The sequence below is a fragment of the Homo sapiens genome, chromosome 7 (genome assembly GCF_000001405.40).
Source record: "Homo sapiens chromosome 7, GRCh38.p14 Primary Assembly".
Lineage (NCBI taxonomy): Eukaryota > Metazoa > Chordata > Mammalia > Primates > Hominidae > Homo > Homo sapiens.
The window spans coordinates 92,180,775-92,208,367 of NC_000007.14; the positions used below are offsets into that span (position 1 = coordinate 92,180,775).

At 38.8% G+C, this 27,593-nt stretch overlaps 1 protein-coding gene and 1 non-coding gene across 35 annotated transcripts in view; both read right to left on the reverse strand.

The window, feature by feature from the left end:
• KRIT1 (KRIT1 ankyrin repeat containing) overlaps positions 18,195–27,593 on the reverse strand; it is a 47,132-nt gene continuing 37,733 nt past the window's right edge. For 33 of the 34 annotated variants that reach the window (NM_001350672.1, NM_001350676.1, NM_001350673.1 and 30 more), the window contains 2 exons: positions 20,533–20,649; positions 18,195–20,030 (listed from right to left, as the gene is read on the reverse strand). In NM_001350672.1, coding sequence (NP_001337601.1) covers positions 19,962–20,030; positions 20,533–20,649 — 186 coding nt within the window. In that variant the 3' untranslated portion in view covers positions 18,195–19,961. The remainder of the gene's footprint in view (positions 20,031–20,532; positions 20,650–27,593) is intronic. The other variant, NM_194454.3, reaches the window with a different exon arrangement.
• MIR1285-1 (microRNA 1285-1) lies at positions 23,241–23,324 on the reverse strand. The gene has a single exon (NR_031616.1). It is a non-coding gene; the product is annotated as a microRNA 1285-1 (primary transcript).

The following is a 27,593-nucleotide window of genomic DNA, read 5'->3' on the forward strand; positions in this document are numbered from 1 at the left end:
AAACCTTCTTAATTTGGCAATTTATATAACCTTTTGTTTTTGGAATACAGTTTTCTTCCCCTTTACATTCGTTCTTTAGCCTAAATCCTAAGTTTCCGACTTGCGATTTAAACTCCACATGAGAGAACAGGTTGGAATTTTATCTTTAATAATTTTATTTATAACTCGAAAGTAAGTTTCAAAATATTTTGTCATAGTAACTCCTATAAGTGTTTATTTAATCCATCTTGTAAATTTTCTATTTCTGTATCTTTAATATATTTAACTATTCATTTGACTGTTAATGACTAAAAAAGGGGGAACATTAACTTCACTGCAATCAGGAAAACTCTTTCAAACTGTTATATAAAAGAATATATATGGTGTACGAACACCCATGTATTTTTAAAAAGTAAATAACAGGTAAACCAAAGCTCAGATAAAATCCAACTTTTAAATATATATAATTAATTGTTAGAGAACTGGCTAAAATAAAGATACAGGTTGGCTTTTCTTCCTCCTAATGGTTATGTGTACAAAACTAAATTTAGTATTAATTGAAAGCAAAAAACCCAGAAAGGGAAAATGGCACACATTTGATTTAGGTGAAAATTATTTACTCATTTTTCTATCTGCAGGTGATTTATCATTTTAGGTTCTTTCCCTTCCACTGTCCAACTGGTATATAATCAGTAAATACAAACAAAAATACCAACATCTGTAAAATATAACTAGGAAGGCACGCTATGAAACATAACATAGCATATTCCAAAAGTCAACAACGGATTTGCTGGTTACTGGATTGAAATTATACTTATTTGCTCATAAAATTGAGTTCATGGCATAATTACATAATTCTGTGGCAAAGCATTTGGTATGCTCTAGGGGAGACATGTTTTAAAAACAATTGCCTTGGGTTTTTTTAATTTTAAAAATAATTACAAATTTTATTTTTAATTCAGGGACATGTGCACATTTGTTACATGGGCATATTGCATGATGCTGAGGTTTGGGGTATGATTGATCCCATCATCCAGGTACTGAGCATAGTACCCAAACGTTTTTCAACCCTTACCCCCATCCCTCCCTCCCACCTCCAGTAGTCCCCAGCGTCTGTTTTTGCCATCTTTATGTCCATAAGTACCCAGTGTTTAGCTCTCACTTATAAGTGAGGGCTTGCGGTATTTGGTTTTCTGTTCCTGAACTAATTCACTTAGGATAGTGGCCTCCAGTTGCATGCACGTTGTTGCAAAGGACATCGTTTCATTCTTTTTTGTGGCTGTGTAGTATTCTATAGTGTGTATATACCACATTTCCTTTATCAAATCCACCGTTGATGGGCACCTAGGTTGATTTCATGTCTTTGCTATTGTGAATAGTACTGTGATGAACATACAGGAGTATTTGTCTTTTGGGAGAATAATTTATTTTCTTTTGGATATATACCAAGTGATGGGATTAATGATGAAAAGGTAGTTCTAAGTTCTTTGAGAAGTCTCCAAACTGCTTTCTACTGTGGCTGAACTAATTTACAGTCCCACTCACAGTGTATAAGCATTTCCTTTTCTCCAAAGCTTTGCCAGCATCTATTTTTTCACTTTTTAGTAATAGTCATTCTGACTGGTGTGAGGTGGTATCTCATTGTGTTTTTGATTTGCGTTTCTCTGATTATTATTGATGTTGAACATTTTTTCATGTTTGTTGGCCGCTTGTGTGTTTTCTTTTGATAAGATCTGTTCATGTCTTTTGCTCATTTTTAATAGGGTTTTTTTTTTTGCTTGCTCAATTAAGTTCTGTATAGATTCTTTAGAATTTTAGACTTTTGTCAGATGCATAGTTTGCAAATATTTTCTCCCATTCTGTAAGCTGTTTACTCTGTTGATAGTTTCTTTTGCTGTGTAGTTTTTTAGTTTAACTAGGTTCCACTTGTCAATTTTTAGTTTTGTTTCAATTGCTTTTGAGGACCTAGTCATAAATTATTTCCAAAGGCTGACGTCCAGAATTGTGTTTCCTAGGTTTTCTTCTAGGACTCTTACAGTTTGAGGTCTTATATTTAAATCTTTAATCCATGTTGAATTAATTTTTGTATATGCTGCTAGTACGGATCAAGTATCATTCTTCTACATATGGCTAGTCAACTATCACAGCACCATTTATTGAGTAGGGAGTTCTTGTCCCAATGCTTATTTTTGTCAACTTTGTTGAAGATTTGATAGCTGTAGGTGTGTGGATTTATTTCTGGGTTCTCTATTCAATTCCATCCGTCTATGTGTCTGCTTTTGTACCAGTACCATGCTCTTTTGGTTACTGTAGCCTTATAATTTGAATTCAGGTAGTGTGATCCTCTAGCTTTGTTCTTTTTGATTAAAACTGCTTTGGCTATTAGGGCTCTTTTTTGGTTGCATATAAATTTTAGAATGTTTTTTTCTAGTCCTGTGAAAAACCATATTAGTAGCTTGATAGAAATAGTGTTCAATCTGGGCCAGGCATGGTGGGTCACACCTGTAATCCCAGCACTTTGGGAGGCCAAGGTGGATGGCTCACCTGAGGTCAGGAGTTTGAGATCAGCCTGGCCCACATGGTGAAACCCCGTTTCTATTAAAAATACAAAAATTAGCTGAGTGTGGTGGCATGGGCCTGTAATCACAGCTACTCGGGAGGCTGAGGCAGGGGAATTACTTGAACCCAGGAGGCGGAGGTTGCAGTGAGCTGAGATTGTGCCACTGCACTCCAGCCTGGGTGACAGAGCAAAACTCCAACTCAAAAAAAAAAAAAGTATTGTCTGTCGAGTGCTTTGGGCAGTGTGGCCATTTTAACAATATTGATTCTTCCAATCCATGAGCATGGAATGTTTTCCCATTTGTTTACATCATCTATGATTTCCTTCAGCCGTGTTTTATAGTTCTCCTTCTAGTGATCTTTCACCTCTTTGATTAGATACATTCCTAGGTATTTTATTTTTGTTTATGGCTACTGTAAGTAAGATTATGTTCTTTTATTTTATTTTATTATTATTATACTTTAAGTTTTAGGGTACATGTGCACAATGTGCAGGTTAGTTACATATGTATACATGTGCCATGCTGGTGTGCTGCACCCATTAACTCGTCATTTAGCATTAGGTATATCTCCTAATGCTATCTCTCCCCCTTCCCCCCACCCCACAACAGTCCCCAGAGTGTGATGTTCCCCTTCCTGTGTCCATGTGTTCTCATTGTTCAATTCCCACCTATGAGTGAGAACATGCGGTGTTTGGTTTTTTCTCCTTGCGATAGTTTACTGAGAATGATGATTTCCAATTTCATCCATGTCCCTACAAAGGACATGAACTCATCCTTTTTTATGGCTGCATACTATTCCATGGTGTATATGTGCCACATTTTCTTAATCCAGTCTATCATTGTTGGACATTTGGGTTGGTTCCAAGTCTTTGCTATTGTGAATAGTGCCACAATAAACATACGTGTGCATGTGTCTTTATAGCAGCATGATTTATAGTCCTTTGGGTATACAGCCAGTAATGGGATGGCTGGGTCAAATTGTATTTCTAGTTCTAGATCCCTGAGGAATCGCCACACTGACTTCCACAATGGTTGAACTAGTTTACAGTCCCACCAGCAGTGTAAAAGTGTTCCTATTTCTCCACATCCTCTCCAGCACCTGTTGTTTCCTGAATGACTGCCATTCTAACTGGTGTGAGATGGTATCTCATTGTGGTTTTGATTTGCATTTCTCTGATGACCAGGGATGGTAAGCATTTTTTCATGTGTTTTTTGGCTGCATAAATGTCTTCTTTTGAGAAGTGTCTGTTCATGTCCTTCACCCACTTTTTGATGGGGTTGTTTTTTTCTTGTAAATTTGTTTGAGTTCATTGTAGATTCTGGATATTAGCCCTTTGTCAGATGAGTAGGTTGCAAAAATTTTCTCCCATTGTGTAGGTTGCCTGTTCACTCTGATGGTACTTTCTTTTGCTGTGCAGAAGCTCTTTAGTTTAATTAGATCCCATTTGTCAATTTTGGCTTTTGTTGCCATTGCTTTTGGTGTTTTAGACATGAAGTCCTTGCCCATGCCTATGTCCTGAATGGTAATGCCTAGGTTTTCTTCTAGGGTTTTTAATGGTTTTAGGTCTAACGTTTAAGTCTTTAATCCATCTTGAATTACTTTTTGTATAAGGTGTAAGGAAGGGATCCAGTTTCAGCTTTCTACATATGGCTAGCCAGTTTTCCCAGCACCATTTATTAAATAGGGAATCCTTTCCCCATTGCTTGTTTTTCTCAGGTTTGTCAAAGATCAGATAGTTGTAGATATGTGGCATTATTTCTGAGGGCTCTGTTCTGTTCCATTGATCTATATCTCTGTTTTGGTACCAGTACCATGCTGTTTTGGTTACTGTAGCCTTGTAGTATAGTTTGAAGTCAGGTAGCGTGATGCCTCCAGCTTTGTTCTTTTGGCTTAAGATTGACTTGGCAACGCGGGCTCTTTTTTGGTTCCATATGAACTTTAAGGTAGTCTTTCTCCAGTTCTGTGAAGAAAGTCATTGGTAGCTTGATGGGGATGGCATTGAATCTATAAATTACCTTGGGCAGTATGGCCATTTTCACGATATTGATTCTTCCTACCCATGAGCATGGAATATTCTTCCATTTATTTGTATCCTCTTTTATTTCCTTGAGCAGTGGTTTGTAGTTCTCCTTGAAGGGGTCCTTCAGGTCCCTTGTAAGTTGGATTCCTAGGTATTTTATTCTCTTGAAGCAATTGTGAATGGGAGTTCACTCATGATTTGGCTCTCTGTTTGTCTGTTATTGGAGTATAAGAATGCTTGTGATTTTTGTACATTGATTTTGTATCCTGAGACTTTGCTGAAGTTGCTTATCAGCTTAAGGAGATTTTGGGCTGAGACAATGGGGTTTTCTAGATATACAATCATGTCATCTGCAAACAGGGACAATTTGACTTCCTCTTTTCCTAATTGAATACCCTTTATTTCCTTCTCCTGCCTGATTGCCCTGGCCAGAACTTCCAACACTATGTTGAATAGGAGTGGTGAGAGAGGGCATCCCTGTCTTGTGCCAGTTTTCAAAGGGAATGCTTCCAGTTTTTGCCCATTCAGTATGATATTGGCTGTGGGTTTGTCATAGATAGCTCTTATTATTTTGAGATACATCCCATCAATACCGAATTTATTGAGAGTTTTTAGCATGAAAGGTTGTTGAATTTTGTCAAAGGCCTTTTCTGCATCTATTGAGATAACCATGTGGTTTTTGTCTTTGGTTCTGTTTATATGCTGGATTACATTTATTGATTTGCATATATTGAACCAGCCTTGCATCCCAGGGATGAAGCCCACTTGATCATGGTGGATAAGCTTTTTGATGTGCTGCTGGATTCGGTTTGCCAGTATTTTATTGAGGATTTTTGCATCAATGTTCATCAAGGATATTGGTCTAAAATTCTTTTTGGTTGTGTCTCTCCCTGGCTTTGGTATCAGGATGATGCTGGCCTCATAAAATGAGTTAGGGAGGATTCCCTCTTTTTCTATTGATTGGAATAGTTTCAGAAGGAATGGTACCAGTTCCTCCTTGTACCTCTGGTAGAATTTGGCTGTGAATCCATCTGGTCCTGGACTCTTTTTGGTTGGTAAGCTATTGATTATTGCCACAATTTCAGAGCCTGTTATTGGTCTATTCAGAGATTCAACTTCTTCCTGGTTTAGTCTTGGGAGGTGTATGTGTCCAGGAATTTATCCATTTCTTCTAGATTTTCTAGTTTATTTACGTAGAGGTGTTTGTAGTATTCTCTGATGGTAGTTTGTATTTCTGTGGGATCGGTGGTGATATCCCCTTTATCATTTTTTATTGTGTCTATTTGATTCTTCTCTCTTTTCTTCTTTATTAGTCTTGCTAGTGGTCTATCAATTTTGTTGATCCTTTCAAAAAAACCAGCTCCTGGATTCATTAATTTTTTGAAGGCTTTTTTGTGTCTCTATTTCCTTCAGTTCTGCTCTGATTTTAGTTATTTCTTGCCTTCTGCTAGTTTTTGAATGTGTTTGCTCTTGCTTTTCTAGTTCTTTTAATTGTGATGTTAGGGTGTCAATTTTGGATCTTTCCTGCTTTCTCTTGTGGGTATTTAGTGCTATAAATTTCCCTCTACACACTGCTTTGAATGTGTCCCAGAGATTCTGGTATGTTGTGTCTTTGTTCTCATTGGTTTCAAAGAACATCTTTATTTCTGCCTTCATTTCATTATGTACCCAGTAGTCATTCAGGAGCAGGTTGTTCAGTTTCCATGTAGTTGAGCGGTTTTGAGTGAGTTTCTGAATCCTGAGTTCTAGTTTGATTGCACTGTGGTCTGAGAGATAGTTTGTTATAATTTCTGTTCTTTTACATTTGCTGAGGAGAGCTTTACTTCCAAGTATGTGGTCAATTTTGGAATAGGTGTGGTGCGGTGCTGAAAAAAATGTATATTCTGTTGATTTGGGGTGGAGAGTTCTGTAGATGTCTATTAGGTCCGCTTGGTGCAGAGCTGAGTTCAATTCCTGGGTATCCTTGTTAACTTTCTGTCTCGTTGATCTGTCTAATGTTGACAGTGGGGTGTTAAAGTCTCCCATTATTATTGTGTGGGAGTCTAAGTCTCTTTGTAGGTCACTCAGGACTTGCTTTATGAATCCGGGTGCTCCAGTATTGGGTGCATATATATTTAGGATAGTTAGCTCTTCTTGTTGAATTCATCCCTTTACCATTATGTAATGGCCTTGTCTCTTTTGATCTTTGTTGGTTTAAAGTCTGTTTTATCAGAGACCAGGATTGCAACCCCTGCCTTCTTTTGTTTTCCATTTGCTTGGTAGATCTTCCTCCATCCTTTTATTTTGAGCCTATGGGTGTCTCTGCCCGTGAGATGGGTTTCCTGAATACAGCACACTTATGGGTCCTGACTCTTTATCCAATTTGCCAGTCTGTGTCTTTTAATTGGAGCATTTACTCCATTTACATTTAAAGTTAATATTGTTATGTGTGAATTTGATCCTGTCATTTTGATGTTAGCTGGTTATTTTGCTAGTTAGTTGATGCAGTTTCTTCCTAGCCTCAATGGTCTTTACAATTTGGCATGATTTTGCAGTGGCTGGTACTGGTTTTTCCTTTCCATGTTTAGTGCTTTCTTCAGGAGCTCTTTTAAGGCAGGCCTGGTGGTGACAAAATCTCTCAGCATTTGCTTGTCTGTAAAGGATTTTATTTCTCCTTCACTTATGAAGCTTAGTTTGGCTGGATATGAAATTCTGGGTTGAAAATTCTTTTCTTTAAGAATGTTGAATATTGGCCCCCACTCTCTTCTGGCTTGTAGTTTCTGCCGAGAGATCCGCTGTTAGTCTGATGGGCTTCCCTTTGTGGGTAACCCGACCTTTCTCTCTGGCTGCCCTTAACATTTTTTCCTTCATTTCAACTTTGGTGAATCTGACAATTATGTGTCTTGGAGTTGCTCTTCTCGAGGAGTATCTTTGTGGCGTTCTCTGTATTTCCTGAATCTGAATGTTGGCCTGCCTTGCTAGATTGGGGAAGTTCTGGATAATATCCTGCAGACTGTTTTCCAACTTGGTTCCATTCTCCCCGTCACTTTCAGGTACACCAATCAGATGTAGATTTCGTCTTTTCACATAGTCCCATATTTCTTGGAGGCTTTGTTCGTTTCTTTTTATTCTTTTTTCTCTAAACTTCCCTTCTCGCTTCATTTCATTCATTTCATCTTCCATCACTGATACCCTTTCTTCCAGTTGATCGCGTCAGCTCCTGAGGGTTCTGCATTCTTCACGTAGTCCTTAGCCTTGGCTTTCAGCTCCATCAGCTCCTTTAAGCACTTCTCTGTATTGTTGATTCTAGTTATACGTTCGTCTAAATTTTTTTCAAAGTTTTCAACTTCTTTGCCTTTGGTTTGAATTTCCTCCTCTAGCTTGGAGTAGTTTGATCGTCCGAAGCCTTCTTCTCTCAACTCGCCAAAGTCATTCTCCATCCAGCTTTGTTCCGTTGCTGGTGAGGAACTGCGTTTCTTTGGAGGAGGAGAGGCGCTCTGCTTTTTACAGTTTCCAGTTTTTCTGCTGTTTTTTCCCTATCTTTGTGGTTTTATCTACTTTTGGTCTTTGATGATGGTGATGTACAGATGGGTTTTTGGTGTGGATGTCCTTTCTGTTTGTTAGTTTTCCTTCTAACAGACAAGACCCTCAGTTGCAGGTCTGTTGGAGTCTGCTAGAGGTCCACTCCAGACCGTTTGCCTGGGTAACAGCAGTGGTGGCTGCAGAACAGCGGATTTTCATGAACCGCGAATGCTGCCGTCTGATCATTCCACTGGAAGTTTTGTCTCAGAGGAGTACCCGGCCTTGTGAGGTGTCAGGTTGCCCCTACTGGGGGGTGTCTCCCAGTTAGGCTGCTCAGGGGTCAGGGTTCAGGGACCCACTTGAGGAGGCAGTCTGCCCGTTCTCAGATCTCCAGCTGCGTGCTGGGAGAACCACTGCTCTCTTCAAAGCTGTCAGACAGGGACATTTAACTCTGCAGAGGTTACTGCTGTCTTTTTGTCTGTGCCCTGCCCGCAGAGGTGGAGCCTACAGAGGCAGGCAGGCCTCCTTGAGCTGTGGTGGGCTCCACCCAGTTCGAGTTTCCCGGCTGCTTTGTTTACCTAAGCAAGCCTGGGCAACGGCGGGCGCCCCTCCCCAAGCCTCGCTGCCGCCTTGCAGTTTGATCTCAGACTGCTGTGCTAGCAATCAGCGAGACTCTGTGGGTGAAGGACCCTCTGAGCCATGTGCGGGATATAATCTCCTGGTGCACCGTTTTTTTAAGCCCGTTGGAAAAGCGCAGTATTAGGGTGGGAGAGACCCGATTTTCCAGGTGCCGTCTGTCACCCCTTTCTTTGACTAGGAAAGGGAACTCCCTGACCCCTTGCACTTCCCAAATGAGGCAATGCCTCGCCCTGCTTTGGCTCGCGCACAGTGTGCTGCACCCACTGTCCTGCGCCCAGTGTCTGGCACTCCCTAGTGAGATGAACCCAGTACCTCAGATGGAAATGCAGAAATCACCCGTCTTCTGCATCGCTCACGCTGGCAGCTGTAGACCGGAGCTGTTCCTGTTCGGCCATCTTGGCTCAGGACCCCCCTCATATCCTCGAGATTATGTTCTTGATTTGGTTCTCAGCTTTAACATTTTTGGTGTATAGAAATGCTACTGATTTTTGTACATTGATTTTTGTATCCTGAAACATTATTGAAGTTATCAGTTCCAGAAGCCTTTTGGCGGAGTTTTCAGCGTTTTCTAGGTATGGAATCATATCATCAGCAAAGAAAGTTTGACTTCTTTTTATATTTGGATGCTTTTTCTTTCTCTTGCCTGATTACTCTGGCTAGGACTTCTAGTTCTGTGTTGAATAGGAGTGGTGAGAGTGGGCATCAGTTTTGTTCCAGTTCTCACTGGGCATGCTTCCAGTTTTTGCCCATTCAGTATGATGTTGGCTGTGGGTTTGTCATAGATGGCTCTTATTTTGAGGTATGTTCCTTTGAAGCCTAGTTTCTGGAGGGTTATCATGAAAAGATGTTGGATTTTATCAAAAGCTTTTTCTGCATCTGTTGATATGATCGTATGGTTTTTAATTGTTTGTTATGTTTATGTGGTGAATCCCATTTACTGATTTCTGTATGCTGAACCAACCTTGCATCCCAGGAATGAAGCCTGTGATCATGGTGAATTAATTTTTGAATGGGATGCTGGATTCGATTTGCTATTTTTGCTGAGGATTTTTGTGTCTATGTTCATCAGGGATATTGGCCTGTAGTTTCTCTCATTGTCTTTGTCAGGTTTTGATATCAAGCTAATGCTGGCTTTGTAGAATGAGTTAGGGAGGAATCTCTCTTCCTCATTTTTTTTAAAGAATAGTTTCAGTAGAATTGGTACTAGCTCTTCTTTGTTTATGTCTGGTAGAATTCAGCTGCGAATCCATCTGGTTTGGGGCTTTTTTAGATTTTTTAAAAATTACTGATTCAATTTTGGAACTCGATACTGGTGTGTTCAGGGTTTCAATTTCTTCCTGATTCAATCTTAGGAAATTGTGTTTCCTGGAACTTAGCCATTTCCTCTAGATTTCCTAAATTGTGTGCATAGAGATTTAATAATAGTCCCTGAGGACCTTTTGTATTTCTGTGGGAATGGTTGTAATGCCATCTTTGTCATTTCTGACTGCGTTTATTTAGATCTTCTTTTTCTTTGTTAATATAGCTAACAGTCTACCAATCTTGTTTCATCTTTCAAAAAACATTTTTTTTGAAAAGATAAAAAAATTGTTTGTTTTTCATTGATTCTCTGTATGGATTTTTGGGTCTCAATTTCATTCCATTTGGCTCTGATTTTAGTTATTTCTTCTCTTCTGCTAGCTTTGGGGTTCATTTGTTGTTTTTCTTGTTCCTCTATCTGTAATGTTAGATGGTTAATTTGAGATCTTTCTAACTTCTGGAGGTAGGTGTTTTGTGCTATAAAATTTCCTATTAACACTGTTTTGGCTGCATCCCAGAGATTTTGGCACGTTGTGTCTTTGTTTTCATTTATTTCAAAGATTTTAAAAATTTGTCGTTTACCCAAAATCATTCAAGAGCAAGTTGTTTTATTTCCATGTTGTCATATGGTATTGAGAGATCTTCTTGGTAGTGATTTCTATTTTTATTCCACTGTGATCTGAGAGTATGGTTTAGTATAATTTTAACTTTTTTGAATTTATTGAGACTTGCTTTACAGTTGAGCATTTGGTTGACCCTGGAGTATGTTCCATGTCCACATGAGAAAAATATGTATTCTGTGGTTGATGGGTGAATTACTCTGTAGATATCTAGTAGGTCTAAGTGTTGAATTTAAGTCCAGAATTTCTTTGTTTTCTGCCTTGATGATCTGTCCAGCACTCTCAATGGGGTGAAGTCCCCCACTATTATTGTGTGACTAAGTCTTTTTGTAGGTCTAGAAGTACTTGTTTTATGAACCTGGGTGCTCAAATGTTGGGTGTGTATGTATTTACAATAGTTCAGTCTTGTTGTTGAACTGAACACTTTGCCATTATGTAGTGCCCTTCTTCGTCCTTTTTCACTGTAGTTGGTTTAGTCTTTTATCTGATATAAAAATAGTGACCTCTGTTCTTTTTTGTTTTCTGTTTGTGTGACAGATCTTTCTCCAACCTTTTACTTTGAGCCTATGGGTGTCGTCATGTTTGAGATGGGTCTCTTGAAGACAGCAGATGGATGGGTCTTGTTTTTTTAATCCAACTTGCCAGTCGATAACTTTTTTTTTTTTTTTTTTTTTGAGACAGAGTTTTGCTCTGTCGCTCAGGCTGGAGTGCAGTAGCGTGATCTTGGCTCACCACAACCTCTGCCTCCCAGGTTCAAGAGATTCTCCTGCCTCAGCCTCCCAAGCAGCTGAGATAACAGGTGCACGCCACCACACCCAGGTAATTTTTGTATTTTTAGTAGAGATGGGGTTCACCATGTTGGCCAGGCTGGTCTCAAACTCCTGACCTCAGGTGATCCACCCACCTCCCAAAGTGCTGGGATTACAAGGCATGAGCCACTGTGCCCAGCCTCATTCTGCGGACTTTTAAGTGGGGGTGTTTAGACCATTTGCATTCCAGGTTAATATTGTTACATGTGGTTTTGATCCTATTGCAAAGCTGTTAGCAGGTTGCTCTGTAGTTTCTATTGTGTAGTTGCTTAATAGGTCTATGGGCTATGTACTTAAATGTGTTTTTCGGTAGCATGCATTGTTCTTTCACTTCCATGTTTAGAACTCCCTTGAGGATCTCTGGTAAGGCTGGTATAGTGGTAAAGAATGCCCTTTGTGCTTGCTTGTCTGGAAAAGATTTTATTTCTCCTTCGCTTATGAAGCTTAGTTTGGCAGGATATATTATTACTATTATTGAAACAGAGTCTCATTCTGTCACCCAGGCTGGAGTGCAGTGGCATGATCTTGGCTCACTGCAACCTCTGCCTCCCAGGTTCATGTGATTCTTATGCCTCAGCCTCATGAGTAGTTGGGATTACAGATGTGCACCACTATGCCCAGCTAATTTGTGTATTTTTAATAGAAAAGGGGTTTCACCATGTTAGCCAGGATGGTCTCAAACTCCTGGTCTCATGTGATCTGCCAGCCTCAGCCTCCCAAAGTGCTGGTATAATGGGCATGAGCCACTGCATCCAGCTATATTATTTTAAACTACACAATTTTGTTCCATTTTTTAGGGCGCTGTTAGAAAACTGTCATTTTTTCCTTGCTGAATTGTAATGCATACAATTTACTCCCTAGGCAAGTAGGGAAAAATATCAGTAAAGCACAGCAAATGAGAAAGTGGGGGCAGCAAGCTCATTCTCAGGTGGTCCTCAATGTGGGATCATCAAAAGAATGGGAGTAAACATTTTTGAGGCTGGGCGCAGCAGTTCACACTTGTAATCCCAGCACTTTGGGAGGCTGAGGTGGGCAGATCACTTGAGGCAAGGAGTTTGAGACCAGCCTGGCCAACACTGTGAAACCCTGCCTCTAATAAAAATACAAAAATTAGCCAGATGTGGTGGTGCTCGGTTGTAATTCCAGCTACTAGGGAGGCTGAGATGGGAGGATCACTGGAATCCGGGAGGTGAAAGTTGCAGTGAGCCGAGATAGTGCCACGGCACTCCAGCCTGGGTGACGGAGTGAGACTCTCTCAAAAACAAAAACATTTTTGAGACTGCTTTCCAGGGCTGGCCAAAATATATTCCCATATGTTGTCTCAGTCTTGTGCTATCATTCAATTTTATTAACATAATCAGTTTTTATTATTCCATATAATTTTAACTAATTTAATAAGCTTCTGTTTTACATTTTTGTTAGGAAAATTTATATTTCCCCATTTCTAAAATTCATTTGCATTTCCAAGCATACAACTTCTCTGTTAATCTTCTTTGACCACTCACTAAATGGATTTTGGGTACAGACATATTTCTAGTTAAATCTTAATTTTTGGCTGGGCAAGGTAGCTCATGCCTGTAATTCCAGCACTTTGGGAGGCCGAGGTGGGTGGATCACCTGAGGTCAGGAGTTCGAGACCAGGCTGACCAACATGGTGAAACCCTGTCTCTCCTAAAAATACAAAAAGTAGCTGGGCATGGTGGCCCATGCCTGTAATCCCAGCTACTTTGGAGGCTGAGGCAGGGGAATCACTTAAACCCGGGAAGCAGAGGTTGCAGTGAGCCGAGATCGTGCCATTGCACTCCAGCCTGGGCAACAAGAGTGAAACTCTGTCTCAAAAAAACAAAACAAAACAAAACAAAAAAAACTTAATATAGTTTTGAATTTTCAGAACTTGGTTAGCAAGTGCTGATTCTTTAAGTGTATTTTGAAATTTGTCCAGTAAAATTTCCTTTGATAATCAGTTCTGTGAATTTTGACAAATATACTATGTCAATCATAATCAGAACATCCTCTCCCCTACCACCAAATTTCTCCATGCTGCCCCTTTATATTCCCATATTCCCCCCACACCTATCCTTAACCTTTGGTAACCACTATCTGCTTTCTGGTCCTACAGTTTTGCCTTTTCCAGAATGTTATCCAAATGGAATGTTACGGTATACAGTATAACCTTTTGAGTCTGGCTTCTTTCAGTTAGCATAATGCATTTGAGCTTTATCCATGTTGTTCATCAATAGTTTCTTTTCATTGTTGAGTGGTATGCCATTATATGGATGTACCTGAGTTTATTCATTCACTCAGTGAAGGATATTTGGGTTGCTCCCAGTTTAATTATGAAAAAATTAAAGATGTATTCTACAAACATTTGCATATGAATTGTGTGAATATAAGTTTTAGCTGCTTAGATAAATAATTGGGAGTGGAATGCCGGGTCCTATAGTATATTTAACTTACAAGAAACGAAACTGTTTTCCAAAATGGTTGTTCCATTTTGCATTCCTACTAGCCATGTATGAGCTCCAGGTCCTCATTCTTTTGCTTTGCTTTTGATGTTTGTTCATGTACATTTAAAAAGCATTTTATTCACCTATCCCTCATACGCATTTAAGAAACATCCATAAGCGAATGTGCTCTGACACTAAAATATGCTGGTCTGCTTTTCCCTAGCAATATTAAATGTTATTTTAATATTTAAATTTTGCCCATATAAAATCTATTGGATACACATATGGAGAATAGTGCCAAGCTATTTCTTTTCTATACTGATATTCACTTAACAGGATGCTTTGTGGATTGTCCTAAGTTTGCCCATTTCTCAAGTGTTGTCATTCTTTTGCTTGCTTCTCACTGTGCTCTCTTCCTGGGTGGCTTCAAATCTATTCGTGGAGTTTCAATTGTCATCTCCTGAGAGCCTTTTGAACTTCAGGCCTGGGAACCCTATTGTCTATTGACCATCTCCATCTATGTGTCCCTTGGGAGCCAGGAACTCAAAACATTTCTTCAAAACTTCCTCCCCTATTCCCTATTTTAGGCAGTATATGGTACCATTTTCCCATATGTCCAGGACAGAAAGAGGATAATTACTCATTACTCCTACCTCTTCCTTATTTCCCATATCTAAAAGGTCACTGGGTTTTGTCAAAATATTTTCTCCCATTGCCATTATCTTAGCTTAAGTCCAGATTGCATTATACCTTCTTGCTCAGAACCACCTCTTTAAGCCCTTCTGTACATTGACCCAGGGTGATCTTTCAACACACACATCTGAGCTAATCAAGTCCTAAGGGCTCCAATGGCTCCTCATAAACAGGAAACACAACACCCTTCAAAACTTGATCATTTTTGTTTAACCACTCCACCTATATCTCCTTTACCTGACAAATGTCTGAATTCAGAAGCCAGACTGCCAGATGTTGAATTCTGACACCCCAACTTACTAGTTTTTGACCTTACACAAATAACATAGCCTCTCTGTATACAACTGTGTTCAAAGTTATACAATATACAAAAATGAAAACATTTACATCACTCTGTTAGAAACTATGGCTCCTAAGATTTTAAAGATAGAAAACAAGTATTATTTTATGTTTTTATTATAACCATACATGATGTATCTGACTGACTTATACTCTGGAGTTTGGCTGCCGAGGTATGAATCTGAGCTCCACCACTCATTGGTTTGGAAAGTAATTTAAACCAACTTCAATTTTCTTATCTGTAAAATGGGAATAATAGTATCTGCCTCATAGTGATTGTTGTCAGGAATAAATGAATTAATATCCCAAAAGTGCTTCAAATAATGCCAATAGTGTAGTAAGTGTCACTTAAAGTAGTAGCTATTATTATAATTTAAATAATGGGGACATAAGTTCCTAATTTCCCACCCATGTGGGTGCCCTTCCAATGAATCCTGAACAACCTGGTACTTCCTTTTATCACAGAAATTAGCACAATGTATTGAAACTGTTTTTCTCATCTACACCCTAAGATGTCTGAAAGATATTCTTTGTCTTAAATACTCTGGCCTCGAAGATCCCCAAAAGCTTGATGCTTCTGCTTTAGGGCCTTTACAGTCTGCCTATGTCTCCCTCTCCAAACACCATAAATAATTCTAGAGGTTTTCTGACGTGCTTATGAATACAAACATCAAATGAGAATCATACCATCATAGATGGATTTTTGGTGAGAAAATATTTTCTTGCATGCACTCAATCCTATCTCTCTCTGTGTCTCTATCCATCTATTCTCACACGCATTCAAGCCTATCTGGTCTATCATCTAATCCTTGCATGCATGCAAGTCTACCTAATCTATCATCTACCTACCAACCTACCTACCTAGAGTCGGGGGCTTGCTCAGTCACGCAGCCTGGAGAACAATGGTGCAATTATAGCTCACTGCAGCCACAAACCCCTGTGCCCAAGAAATCCTCCCACCTCAGCCTCCTGAGTAGCTGGGACTACAGATGTACACCACCACTCCTGGCTATTTTTTATTTTTGTAGAGATGGAGATCTTGCTATGTTGCCTAGGCTGGTGTGGTCTTGAACTCCTGGCCTCAAGTGATTCTCCCACTTTGGCCTTCCAAAGCGCTGGGATTACAGCGTGAGTAACCATGTCCAGCCTCAAGCCAATTAAGTGTCTTAATCAGTTTTCTACACAGTGCAGCAAAAACAAATTATGCTTTGACAGAAATTATTTTCACTGAGAGCATTGTTTTCTATGTTAATGATAAGGCAACAAATTGATTCCCCAATCCGTTTTTTGCACATATAAATTCTTTTAGAGGGCCAGACACAGTGGCTTATGCCTGTATCCTAGCACTATGGGAGGCCGAGGAAGGTGGATCACCTGAGGTTAGGAGTTTGAGGCCAGCCTGGCCAACATGGTGAAACCCTGTCTCTACTAAAAATACAAAAATTAGCTGGGCATGGTGGCGCACGTCTGTAATCCCAGCTACTCAGGAGGCTGATGAGGCAGGATAATTGGTTGAACCCAGTGGGGCGGAGGTTGCAGTGAGCTGAGATCATGCCACCGCACTCCAGCCTGGGCGACAGAACAAGACTCTGTCTCAATCATTCAATCAATCAATAAATATTCTTTTAGAGTTTTTGCCATTGATTTCTCAGGATCAAATAAAAAAATCTAAATTTTATTAATGCAATTCCTCTATTAAGTTTGGTCAATAACCGGAAAGTTTTACTTTGTTGAATATTTCTATCAAGTCTAATTTTTCTAGGGTCAATTTTGGCAACTTTTTTCTTATTTTTTTTTCTTTTTTTGCCCATCATTGGCTAAATTTTGGCAATTTTTAATCTTGTGGTTCTTCAGTAAGTTTTCTCTAATACATTTATCATGTGCAGTATTAGCTATTCTGGTTTTATTTGTATAATGAAAATTAATTTGTTGTGATTTGGATAAACAATTACTTGAATTTGGATCACAACTGAAAATGAGTAATTGTAAATCCCCTCATCAGTTCTCCAGGTCTGTCTTTTGGGGTCAAAACATCTCACCTCATTTCCCTTCCAGCTGTACTGCCTTCACATAACTAATTCCTGCTCACATGTCAGATGCCAACTCAAGCATCACTTGCTCAGGAAAGCCTCTCCTGATCCCTACTAGATCAAGGGTCCCTGTTAATGCTGAGATGTTTTTCTTTCATCACAGTAATTAGAGTTACAATTACATATATCCATGATAATTTATTGTCTCCCTCAGACTTTGTTCTCTGAAAGCAGGGATTTTGTTTTCCTTACCACTGGGTCCCTGGCACATAAAAGGCACTCAAATTTACTGAAAGAATGATGAAAGGAAAATGGTATCTTATCTTGATCCCTACAGCACATATAATGCCTGATCAATACCAGGCATTCATTAAAAGCTGTTTAGATTTCCCTATTTTTATTTCTGGATTGTTATGGTCTGAAAGATAATGATCAATTTTTTTCTCAATAATAATTTTTAAAATTGAATTTTTAATGCTATATATTTTTAAGCCTTTAATAACTATGCTACTCTAATAGTCTCCTATTCCTTTCTTATTAGGGCTGCTATACTGTACATCTTCAGGAGGGTAAACTGTATTCCACAGAGCAGGAGGTTGTTTGATGTGGTATCACTGCATCCTCACCTCTCTCTGTGAAAGGAAACACATTCGGCTATCTCCTAAAGTTGCTTATAATTACAGTTCTAATTCCTAACTGTACATAGTAAGTACACAGAATACTTCAAGAACAGAAATGCTTGGGTCTCACTCTAAAATTACTGAATCAGAAAGTACTGAATTTCCCCACATGACTGAGGAGTTAGGAAACAGTGGGAGCATAGAATGAGTATGGGAGAAGTGGTTAGACAATAATCTTGATAGGCAGCTTAGCAACAGTGTACTAAGGGCCTTGGTTTCAATACTAAAGAATTCGGAATTTAATTCTACATATAGTGGTAACCATTAATGATTTTCACAGTGTAATGAAATAATCGGACTGATGAGAAAGCTTAACTTGGCATCAGTGTGGCAGATAGGCAGGAAGGGTACAGAGCCTGAGTCAGGGGTAGGAAGCTACTACAAGCTAAAGAATGGATGGTGAGGACTTGAACTAGACTGGCTGCAGTGCAAGCAGGGAGGAAGGAAATGAGAAAGGACTCCCAAAACATCAGACAGGACTTTGATCCACAAAATATGTAAGTTGGGGAACGGCTGAACACCGTAACAGTATTTCCAGGCTAAGCAACTGAATGCAGTTCGATGATGTCATTAACCAAATAGGGAATATAGTGGAAGGACAGAATGAAGCAAATAGAGGAAATAAATTCTGTTTCCAGCTATGATTCAACTGAAGTTCTCTGTAGACCATTTAGATGGACCTAGAACAAGTATAACTTGGAAATTAAGATTTGAAGTTCAGAAAAGAAGTTGAGGCTAAAATCTTAGGTTTGGGAGTCAACAGGGTATTTGGTAACAGTTGAGGACATTAGAATGAAGGGAACTGAAAAGGGTATTGTTCATGTAGAATCAAAAGTACCTAGCACAGAATTAAAGATAAATCAGGCTTTCTTGTTAACTTTACTTAACCATACAATCTTAATTTTAATAAGGCCTACATATAGTACCATTAAAAATAAGCAGAAGTTAATGTGAAGAATAGTAATATAAAAATTATCTGCAAACTGTAGGACAACTTTAAATATGACTATATCTCTGAACTTATTTAGAATTCATCAGTTTATTAGTTTGGAAAAACTGTAGTTTCTAGCTTATGAATAGCACATTCATCAAGTTGGCTCTTCATCTATATCACTACTTTCCTAAATGAAACAATAAGATATCTGGTGATTTACTTCCTACAAAGCAAAGTCAATATACATAAACTATTAAGTCAACTCATAAAAAATACAGCATGTATTTAACAAATGCAACTTCTAATATCAAGAGATTATCACTTAAAATGTGTCTATGTATGTGTGTGCTTGTGTGCCAGGCAGTTTTGTGAAATTTCTCAACTTTAATAATCGAAATTCCTTATTGGGTCTGAAATTATTCTAACAGCAAAAAAGAAAAAACAAAACCAAATTTAAGTTCACAAGGCCATGCTACTTCCAGAGAGTGAATGCCCTTGTTTAGAATGGGTCTCTGAAATCTTCATTTTTAAGAGGCATCTAGGTAATTATGATGCAAGGAGTTCATGAACTATACTTTGAGAAACACTACTGTATATCAGATTTACATTTTAACTAAGACTTTTAAAAAAATGTTGAGAAATGTTTATAGACTGCAGAAAACTGTTTTAAATAACAGTGTTATGTGGTTCAAGTAGAAAATACATTTTCTTTATTCAAATCATGTTGACGTTCAGTATATTTTGAAATACACATGAAGTTATACCAAAGCTACATTTTAATCTCATCACATTCCACCCCAAATTCCTTACCATTTACCAAAAATAACTTTTTATAAAGCTTACTATTTTGTCTAATATTATACAGACTATCAATCTATAACTTTTTGTGTTTCTCTCAAAAATTAGAATAGCTTATGAGGATATTATATAAAACTAATTGGTATATTACACACCAAACATAAGTACAGATTCTGTACAATGTAATAGTATACATATATATTACAAGAGACTATATGCCTTGTTGAAAGTAATTTTTTTTTTTTTTTGAGATGGAGTCTTGCTGTGTCACCCAGGCTAGCGTGCCGTGGTGCAATCTTGGCTCACTACAACCTCCACCTCCTGGGTTTAAGCGATCTCCCACCTTGGCCTCCCTAGTAGCTAGGATTATAGGCGCCCGCCACCACACCCAGCTAATTTTTGTATTTTTGTAGAGACAGGGTTTCACCATGTTGGCCAGGCTGGTCTTGAACTCTGACTTCAGGTGATCCGCCTGCCCCAGCCTCCCAAAGTGCTGGAATTACAGGGGTGAGCCACCATGCTCGGCCAAAAGTAATATTTTAAGAAATCTTTCACGGAAAAAAAACTCTGCATTACAAAATGTGGTGGCTTGAGTAACAGTTACTTCTCTTTCATGAATTTCTTTCAGTGGGCATTAACTGTCCATTTAGCTTCATTAACAGTTTTACCACGAGACCAGCCTACAAAGTAAAACATGTCAATAATAAATATAAAACATGTAAGAATCTTTAAAGGACATTCATGACATTGGGCAGTTCCCTATCTATTTGAAAGGGAACTTTCTTATCAGGAGACAGCTTGTTAAGAGAGAGTATAGAGGGGGATATTTACTCAGGCTTTTTGAAGTGACTTAAGAATCAATCTGCTGGATACAGCTAGGGGGCACAGGTAGGTCAAGGACAGGGAAGGACTACCTAATAACTTGATAGATGAGACAGGTAATACTGACCAGAATGAAAAGACATGGCAAAAGAGTTTGTTATAAAAGTGAAATAAACTATTCAGGTAAGTTTCTGATTTTTCCTTGCTTAGAAGGCCTGGCTTTATTCCTTGGTCTTAAATATTTTAATTTCATGAAATATTACAGGTTTTCCTTGAAGTTAAATGGATGTCACTTTTTTAAAAAAAGAAGTAACTTTACTAACACAATAGTTTATGAAGTCCAAAATAAATGATACTTACCTGTTTTGTATGTACTATAAAGCTCATTTTATTTTCCATGCTATGGATCTGAAAACAAGTATCAGTATCTCCCAATTGCCACATAAAACAACCATACTTAAGACTGATGAGTAAAGCCTGCAACATAATTGGAAACAACTATATTGAAATACATATTAAAAACTTCACCTATTTTCTCTTACTATCTACATTTATGTTGTCTGCTCTAAATATAATAGTTCAGAATGCTTTTTCTAAAAATTATTATACTTTAAGTTCTGGGGTACACGTGCAGAATGTGCAGTTTTGTTACATAGACATACACATGCCATGGTGGTTTGCTGCACCCATCAACCCGTCACCTACATTAGATATTTCTCCTAATGCTATCCCTCCCCTAGCCCCCTACCCCCTGAGAGACCCCGGAGTGTGATGTTCCCCTCCCTGCGTCCAAGTATTCCTCATTGTTCAACTCCCACTTATGAGTGAGAACATGCGGTGTTTGGTTTTCTGTTCTTGTGATAGTTTGCTGAGAATGATAGTTTCCAAGAATGTTTTAATGAAGCCTTTTCAAAGCACCCCGCACTAACCTCACACAGCCTGCAGCACAGAATCACATAGATTGGTAGACTCTCAGGAGAGTGCTGTGAGCAATATTTGTCATATAAGATTGACAAACATTTTTAAAGATGTCAATTCTATCCATGGCTTTCAGGATAATGAAAGGTACTACCTTTATTTTCTTTCTGCAGGTTAAAAGCTATCTCTTTATTCAGTATCTTTCTTTTGAATATTTACATAGTACTTTCAGATTGTAGTTTATGCAACTGGGTTAACATGTTTACTTCAACAATCTCATCCCACTGAAAATAAGTACACTGATATATTTATTATAAAAGTAAGCATAATTTAAAAAATTACTAACATACCTTTCATAAATTCATCAGAGCTATTTTTTTAAGGATAGTCAAGTGAAGCAGTGGGAGTGGAGAAGAACTGTAATTGATTGTGATCAAAGAGTTGTAAACACTACTGCACATGGACCAGCCAACAACAGAACTATTTATAAAGCAGTATTAATGATTCCTACACTTTCCTAATATAATACTGTATATAAGCAGACATTCAATATATCCTTGTTAATAACAATTCTCTTCTAGCAGTAACTTCCATTTTCTTGCCCTAAACATGTATTATTTGTGTACATATAAACAAAGAAAGTGTTCATGGCATTTTTAAGATACATATGTTTAGAAGCATTCAGTTTCTATAAATACCAATTCTTATAATATTGACCACAAATACTAAACTAAGAATGTGCCAGAAAGATAATGGGTTAGGGGATTTTTAAAGTGAGGTTCTGTCTGGGAGGCGGAGGTTGCAGTGACCCGAGGTCACGCTACTGCACTCCTGCCTGGGCAACAGTGAGACTCCGTCTAAATAAATAAATAAAATAAATAAAGTGAGGTTCTGTGAATGAAACACAGGTAATTTATGTGAGTATACATTAAGTATAAGGAAAAACTAATAGTATCTTTTAAAAATGGCTATCTACATTTATATTGTAAAATATAACCTTATACATAGGAGGATATACTAAAATAGCTACTTATCAAGGTACAGACTGAACAGAGTCAAGATATCATACTACCTTAAACTGCCTTCTCTTTTAAATCAATCACCTGAAATTTCTTTATTCAAAAGCCACAAAACAGTCCATTAATATGGCTTCAAAACAGTTCAATATACAGAAAAAAATACAACTGTAGTATAGTTACTTCTCAATTATAGAAGTCAAATTTCCAACAAAAGTACTGAGCCTGTAGTTATAGAAGGTAGAAACAACTGACACAAAAAACACAACTGTGTCCCATGGCTTTTCCTATCTCTGACACTAATGTATCCCATGTAGTGTTTTAAATGCAAATGAAGGTATTTTTGCAGATGAAGGTGTTTGCTATGTTTTTGCTAAGCTTGTTGAATGCAATCCTAGTAGACCTTGGTGAATCTAAGACAACTGAGGACAAGCTGGTTGTTCCCACATTTGACGGCTGAAATATGCAACTATCTTAAAGCTTTCAAAGGTGCCATAAATTTATCAGTGGTTTACAGAGAACAAGGTAATGACTAGATGGATAGAAAATACCTTTACTCTTTGGTTCAATCACCTGTTTAGATACCCAAGGATAGCATTTCTATTTATAGTTCAAGAAACTGAACCTCTTATCTAAGGAAAAAGCAGACTGTTAATTAAGAATATTATTGTCATCCTTCTGTCTGTTACTGCTAACTCATTTATTTGAATCCTGGATCAAAGTATTATACATAATATGAAATGTTATATTTAAGTGTTAAATAATATCACTAAACCTTCATTTGAATACTATATAAAACTTTGTATTATTGCCAAAAATTGGAAAGCTAACAAACATAAAATATAGTTTAGAGAAATGGCACAGCATCACCATCCAGTTCTATGAAGAATGATTTGCAGATGTTGGTATAAAATGCTCTGAAACAGCAGAGGAAAAATTTCTTGAAATGGTGGGGGGCATTTCTCCTTCATTTCCTTTAATGAACTTAGTACAAGAGAAATAGAAAAGTGGTTACAAGCTAATAAACAGCAGCCTATTTTGTGTGGGCAAAATAGTTTTAACAGAAAATGAGGATGGTGTGGTGGCTCACACCTGCAATCCCAGCACTTTGTGAGGCTAAGGTGGGAGAATCACCTTGTAGAGATAAGGTCTCACTTTGTTGCCCAGACCAGGAGTTTGAGACCAGCCTGGGCAACAAAGTGAGATCCTATCTCTACAAATAATAAAAAAATTAGCTGGGTGTGGTGGCATATGCCTGTAGTCCCAACTACTTGGGAGGCTGAGGCAGGAGGACTGCCTGAGCCTAGGAGTTTGCAGCTGCACTGAGCTATGATGGTGCCGCTGCACTCCAGCCTGGGCAAAAGAGTGAGACTGTGTCCCAAGGAAAAAAAAAAAAGGAAAGAAAAAGAAAATGATAAGCAAATGACCCAAAAGCAAGGTGACCGCAAGAGAGCAGTGCCCAACCTTTTTGGTGCCAGGGATCGGTTTCGTGGCAGACAATTCTTCCACAGACAGGGGTGTCAGGGATGGTTTTGGGATGATTCAAGCCCATTTTATTTATAGTGCACTTTATTTCTATTACTATTATATTGTAATATGTAACGAAATAATTATACAACTCACCACAATGTAAAATCACTGGGAGCCCTGAGCTTGTTTTCCTGCAACTAGATGGTCCCATCTGGGGGTGATGGGAGGCAGTGACAGATCATCAGGCATTACATTCTCATAAGGGGCATGAAACCTAGATCCCTTGCATGTGCAATTCAAAAGAGGGTTCATGTTCCTATAAGAATCTAATGCCACCGTTGATCTGACAGGAGGCAGAGCTCAGATGGTAATGCAAGTGATAGGGAGTGCTGTAAATACAGATGAAGCTTTGCTTGCTGCTCATCTGCTGTGCGGCCCGGTTCCTTACAGGCCATGGACCGGTACCAGTCCATGGCCTGGGTGTTGGGGACCCCTGCTAGAAGAGACTTCAAGAAATTAAGCTCCAGGTCATTACTAAAATCAGACTCTATTCCACCCTATGTTCCTAGATATTTTATCTCCATTCACGTGTGTATCTATCAAAGTAACTGTTGCCCTTAAAGATAACCCTGAAAATTAATATAAAATGACTAAACTATGACTGGGATATTTCAGGAGTTATGTGATTATAAAGACCTATCAAGACACATAAAGGGGCGAGCACGGTGGCTCATACCTGTAATCCCAGCACTTTGGGAGGGCGAGGCAGTCGGATCACCTGAGGTCAGGTGTTCGAGACTGGCCTGACCAACATGGAGAAACCCCCTCTCTACTAAAAATGCAAAATCAGCCAGGTGTGGTGGCACATGCCTATAATCCCATCTAGTTGGGAGGCTGAGGCAGGAGAATCGCTTGAACCCCGGAGGCAGAGGTTGCAGTGAGCCAAGATCACGCCATTGCACTGCAGCCTGGGCAACAAAAGCGAAACTCATCTCAACAACAACAACAACAAAAAAGACACATAAAAATGAGGAAAATAAAAACTGGGTTTACAGTGAAATTTCCTAATCTAAATGCCTTTTAAAAATGCATAAGCTTCATTATTACTTTAACTGATTTGGTCTATTCTTAACAAATCTTAATTAACAAATTACGAGGCAGGTGGATCACTTGAGGTCAGAAGTTCGAGACCAGCCTGGCAAACATGGTGAAACCCCCCTATGAAAAACACAAAAATTAGGTGGGCTTGGTGGTTCATGCTTGTAATCCCAGCTACTTGAGAGGCTAAAGCGGGAGGACTGCTTGAACCTAGGAGGCAGAGGTTGTAGTGAGCCAAGATCACACCACTGCGTCCAGCCTGGGTGACAGAGCAAGACTCTGTCTCAAAAAACAAAACAAAATGAAACAAATTAGATTTGATTTTTATTAGCTTCCTATTATAAACTAAAAAGCTGTTCATCCCATTTAAATGTGTTAAATATGCCAAAAAATAACTGATAAACCTGTATTTTATAATGACTTACGGTTAGAAAAAGGAGCACCATAAACTAACTTCTAACTGAAGAGCTCTAAAGTGGGATTGAAAAGGGTCTAACCCACCTACTGCTGCTGTCACCTGTGCACATAGTGCCAGGAGGTCAACCCACCTGCCTGCCACCAGCACCTGCAAACTCCAGAGGTGGGCTTGGAGAGAAGCCTGCCCTGCCCACCACTGCCACCAGCACACATTATCTAGGGTCCTAAGGACAAGCCTGCTCTGCCCACTGCCACTGTCAACTGTGCCTAAGCATGCCATCTAAGGGCCTGAGGACTGACTCAACTAGCACGCTGCTGCCATTGCCTGCATACACCATCAGAGGGCCTGACGACAGGCCTGTTCTGCCTGCTGTTGGTGCCTGTGCATTTCATCTGGGGCCTTAAGTACTGTTATGCTCTGCCTATGCCTGCTGGCGCCCACATGTACTATCTAGGGGCCTGAGGAAAGGCATGCCCTGCCTACTGGCACAACTACTAGTGCCTGAGCACTGGTCTACCTGGAGTCACAGTCCCCAGAAAAGCCTACTACAGCCTTCATTAACAACCACAGTCTAAGCCACTGAGGGACTCTCAGACACCGCTAATGCTCATTAAAGCTGAAGAAATCACAGGGAGACTATACTACTGCACTCACCCAGAATCAAAGCCAAAGCACCCTATCCAACCAACACTATAGCTACATCTACAGGAAAAAGTCTTTCCCTACAAAAGCCAATGCATAAAATAGGAAGAAGTGACATCAGATGTACAGATATAAATATAACGATACAAAAAACATTGAAAAGCAAGAAAACATGACACCTTCAAAGGAAAACAATAATTCTTCAGTAACAGATGCTCCCCCCAAATTTTGAAATGCCTAACAAAAAAATCAAAATGACATTAAAGAAACTCAGTGTGACTTAAGACATATAAGATAACAAAAGTACATAATCCTGGAATGGAAGAACTCAATAAATGAAATAAAAAGCACAACTGAGAGCTTCAACAATAGACTAGATCAAGCAGAATAAAGAATTTGTAAACCCGAAGGTATCTTAACCCAGGCAGACAAAAAAAAAAAAAAAAAGAAAGAAATCAAGAAATAAAAAAGAATGAAGAAAGCCAATGTGACATGTGGGGACACCATAAAGTGACCAAACATTTGAATTCTGAGATTTTAGAGGGAGAAGAAATGGAGAAAGTCAAAGAAAACCTACTTGAAGAAATAATAGCTGAAAACTCCCTAAGTCTTGTAAGAGATGCAGACATCAAGATACAGGAAGCTCAAAGATACCCAAGCAGATCTAACCTAAAAAGGTCTTTCCCAAGGCATGTTATAGTCAAACTGTCAAAACTCAAAGACAACAAGAGGATTCTAAAAACCATAAGATAAATGCATCAGGTCACATATAAGGACATTGCCATCAAACAAACAACAGATTTCTCAGAAGAAACTACAGGCCAGAAGAGCCTGGGATGATGTGTTTAAAATGCTAAAAGTTAAAGAAAAAAAAAAAGCTTTATATTAGGTTGGTGCAAAAATAACTGCGATTTTTGCCATTGTTATTAGATCTAAAGGGAATGACAGACTCCAATACAATAATAGTTGGGGAATTCAACACCCCACTCTCAACACTGAATGGATCAAAATAAATTAACAAAAAAACACTGGATTTAAACTGCACTTTAGACTAAATGGATTTAACAGCCAGGTGCAGTGGCTCACGCCTGTAATCCCAGCACTTTGGGAGGCCGAGGTGGTTGGATCACCTGAGGCCAGGAGTTTGAGACCAGCGTGGGCAACATGGCTACACCTCGTCTCTACTAAAAATACAAAAATTAGCCAGGTGTGGTGGCACATGCCTGTAATCCCAGCTACTCAGGAGGCTAAGGCAGGATAATCGCTTGAACCCAGGAGGCAGAGGTTTTACAGTGAGCTGAAATTGCTCACTGCACTTCAGCCTAGGCGACAGAGCAGGACTCTGTCTCTAAAAAAATATAAACAAACAAATAAATAAATAAATGGATCTAACAGACATTTACAAAACATTTCATCCATCAGCTGCAGAACACACATTCTCCAGGATACACCATCTGTTAGGCCAAAAAACAAGTCCCAACAAATTTTGTAAAAGTATCTTCTCAGATCACAATGAAATAAAACTATAAATCAGTAACAAAAGAAATTTTGGGAACTGTACAAATAAAAGGAAATTAAACAACATGCTCCTGAATGACCACTGGGTCAATTAAAAAATTAAGAAGGAAATAAAAAAATTTCTCAAATGCAATGAAAATGAAAACACCATATACCAAAACCTAAGGGATGTAGCAAAAGCAGTGTAAGAGGAAAGTTTACTGCAATAACATCTATGGCAAAAAAGTAGGAAGATCTCAAACACTTAACGATGCACCTCAAGGAACTAGAAAAGCAAGAAAAAACCAACCCTGAAATTAGCAGAAGGAAAGAAATAAGAAAGATCAGACCAGAACTAAAAG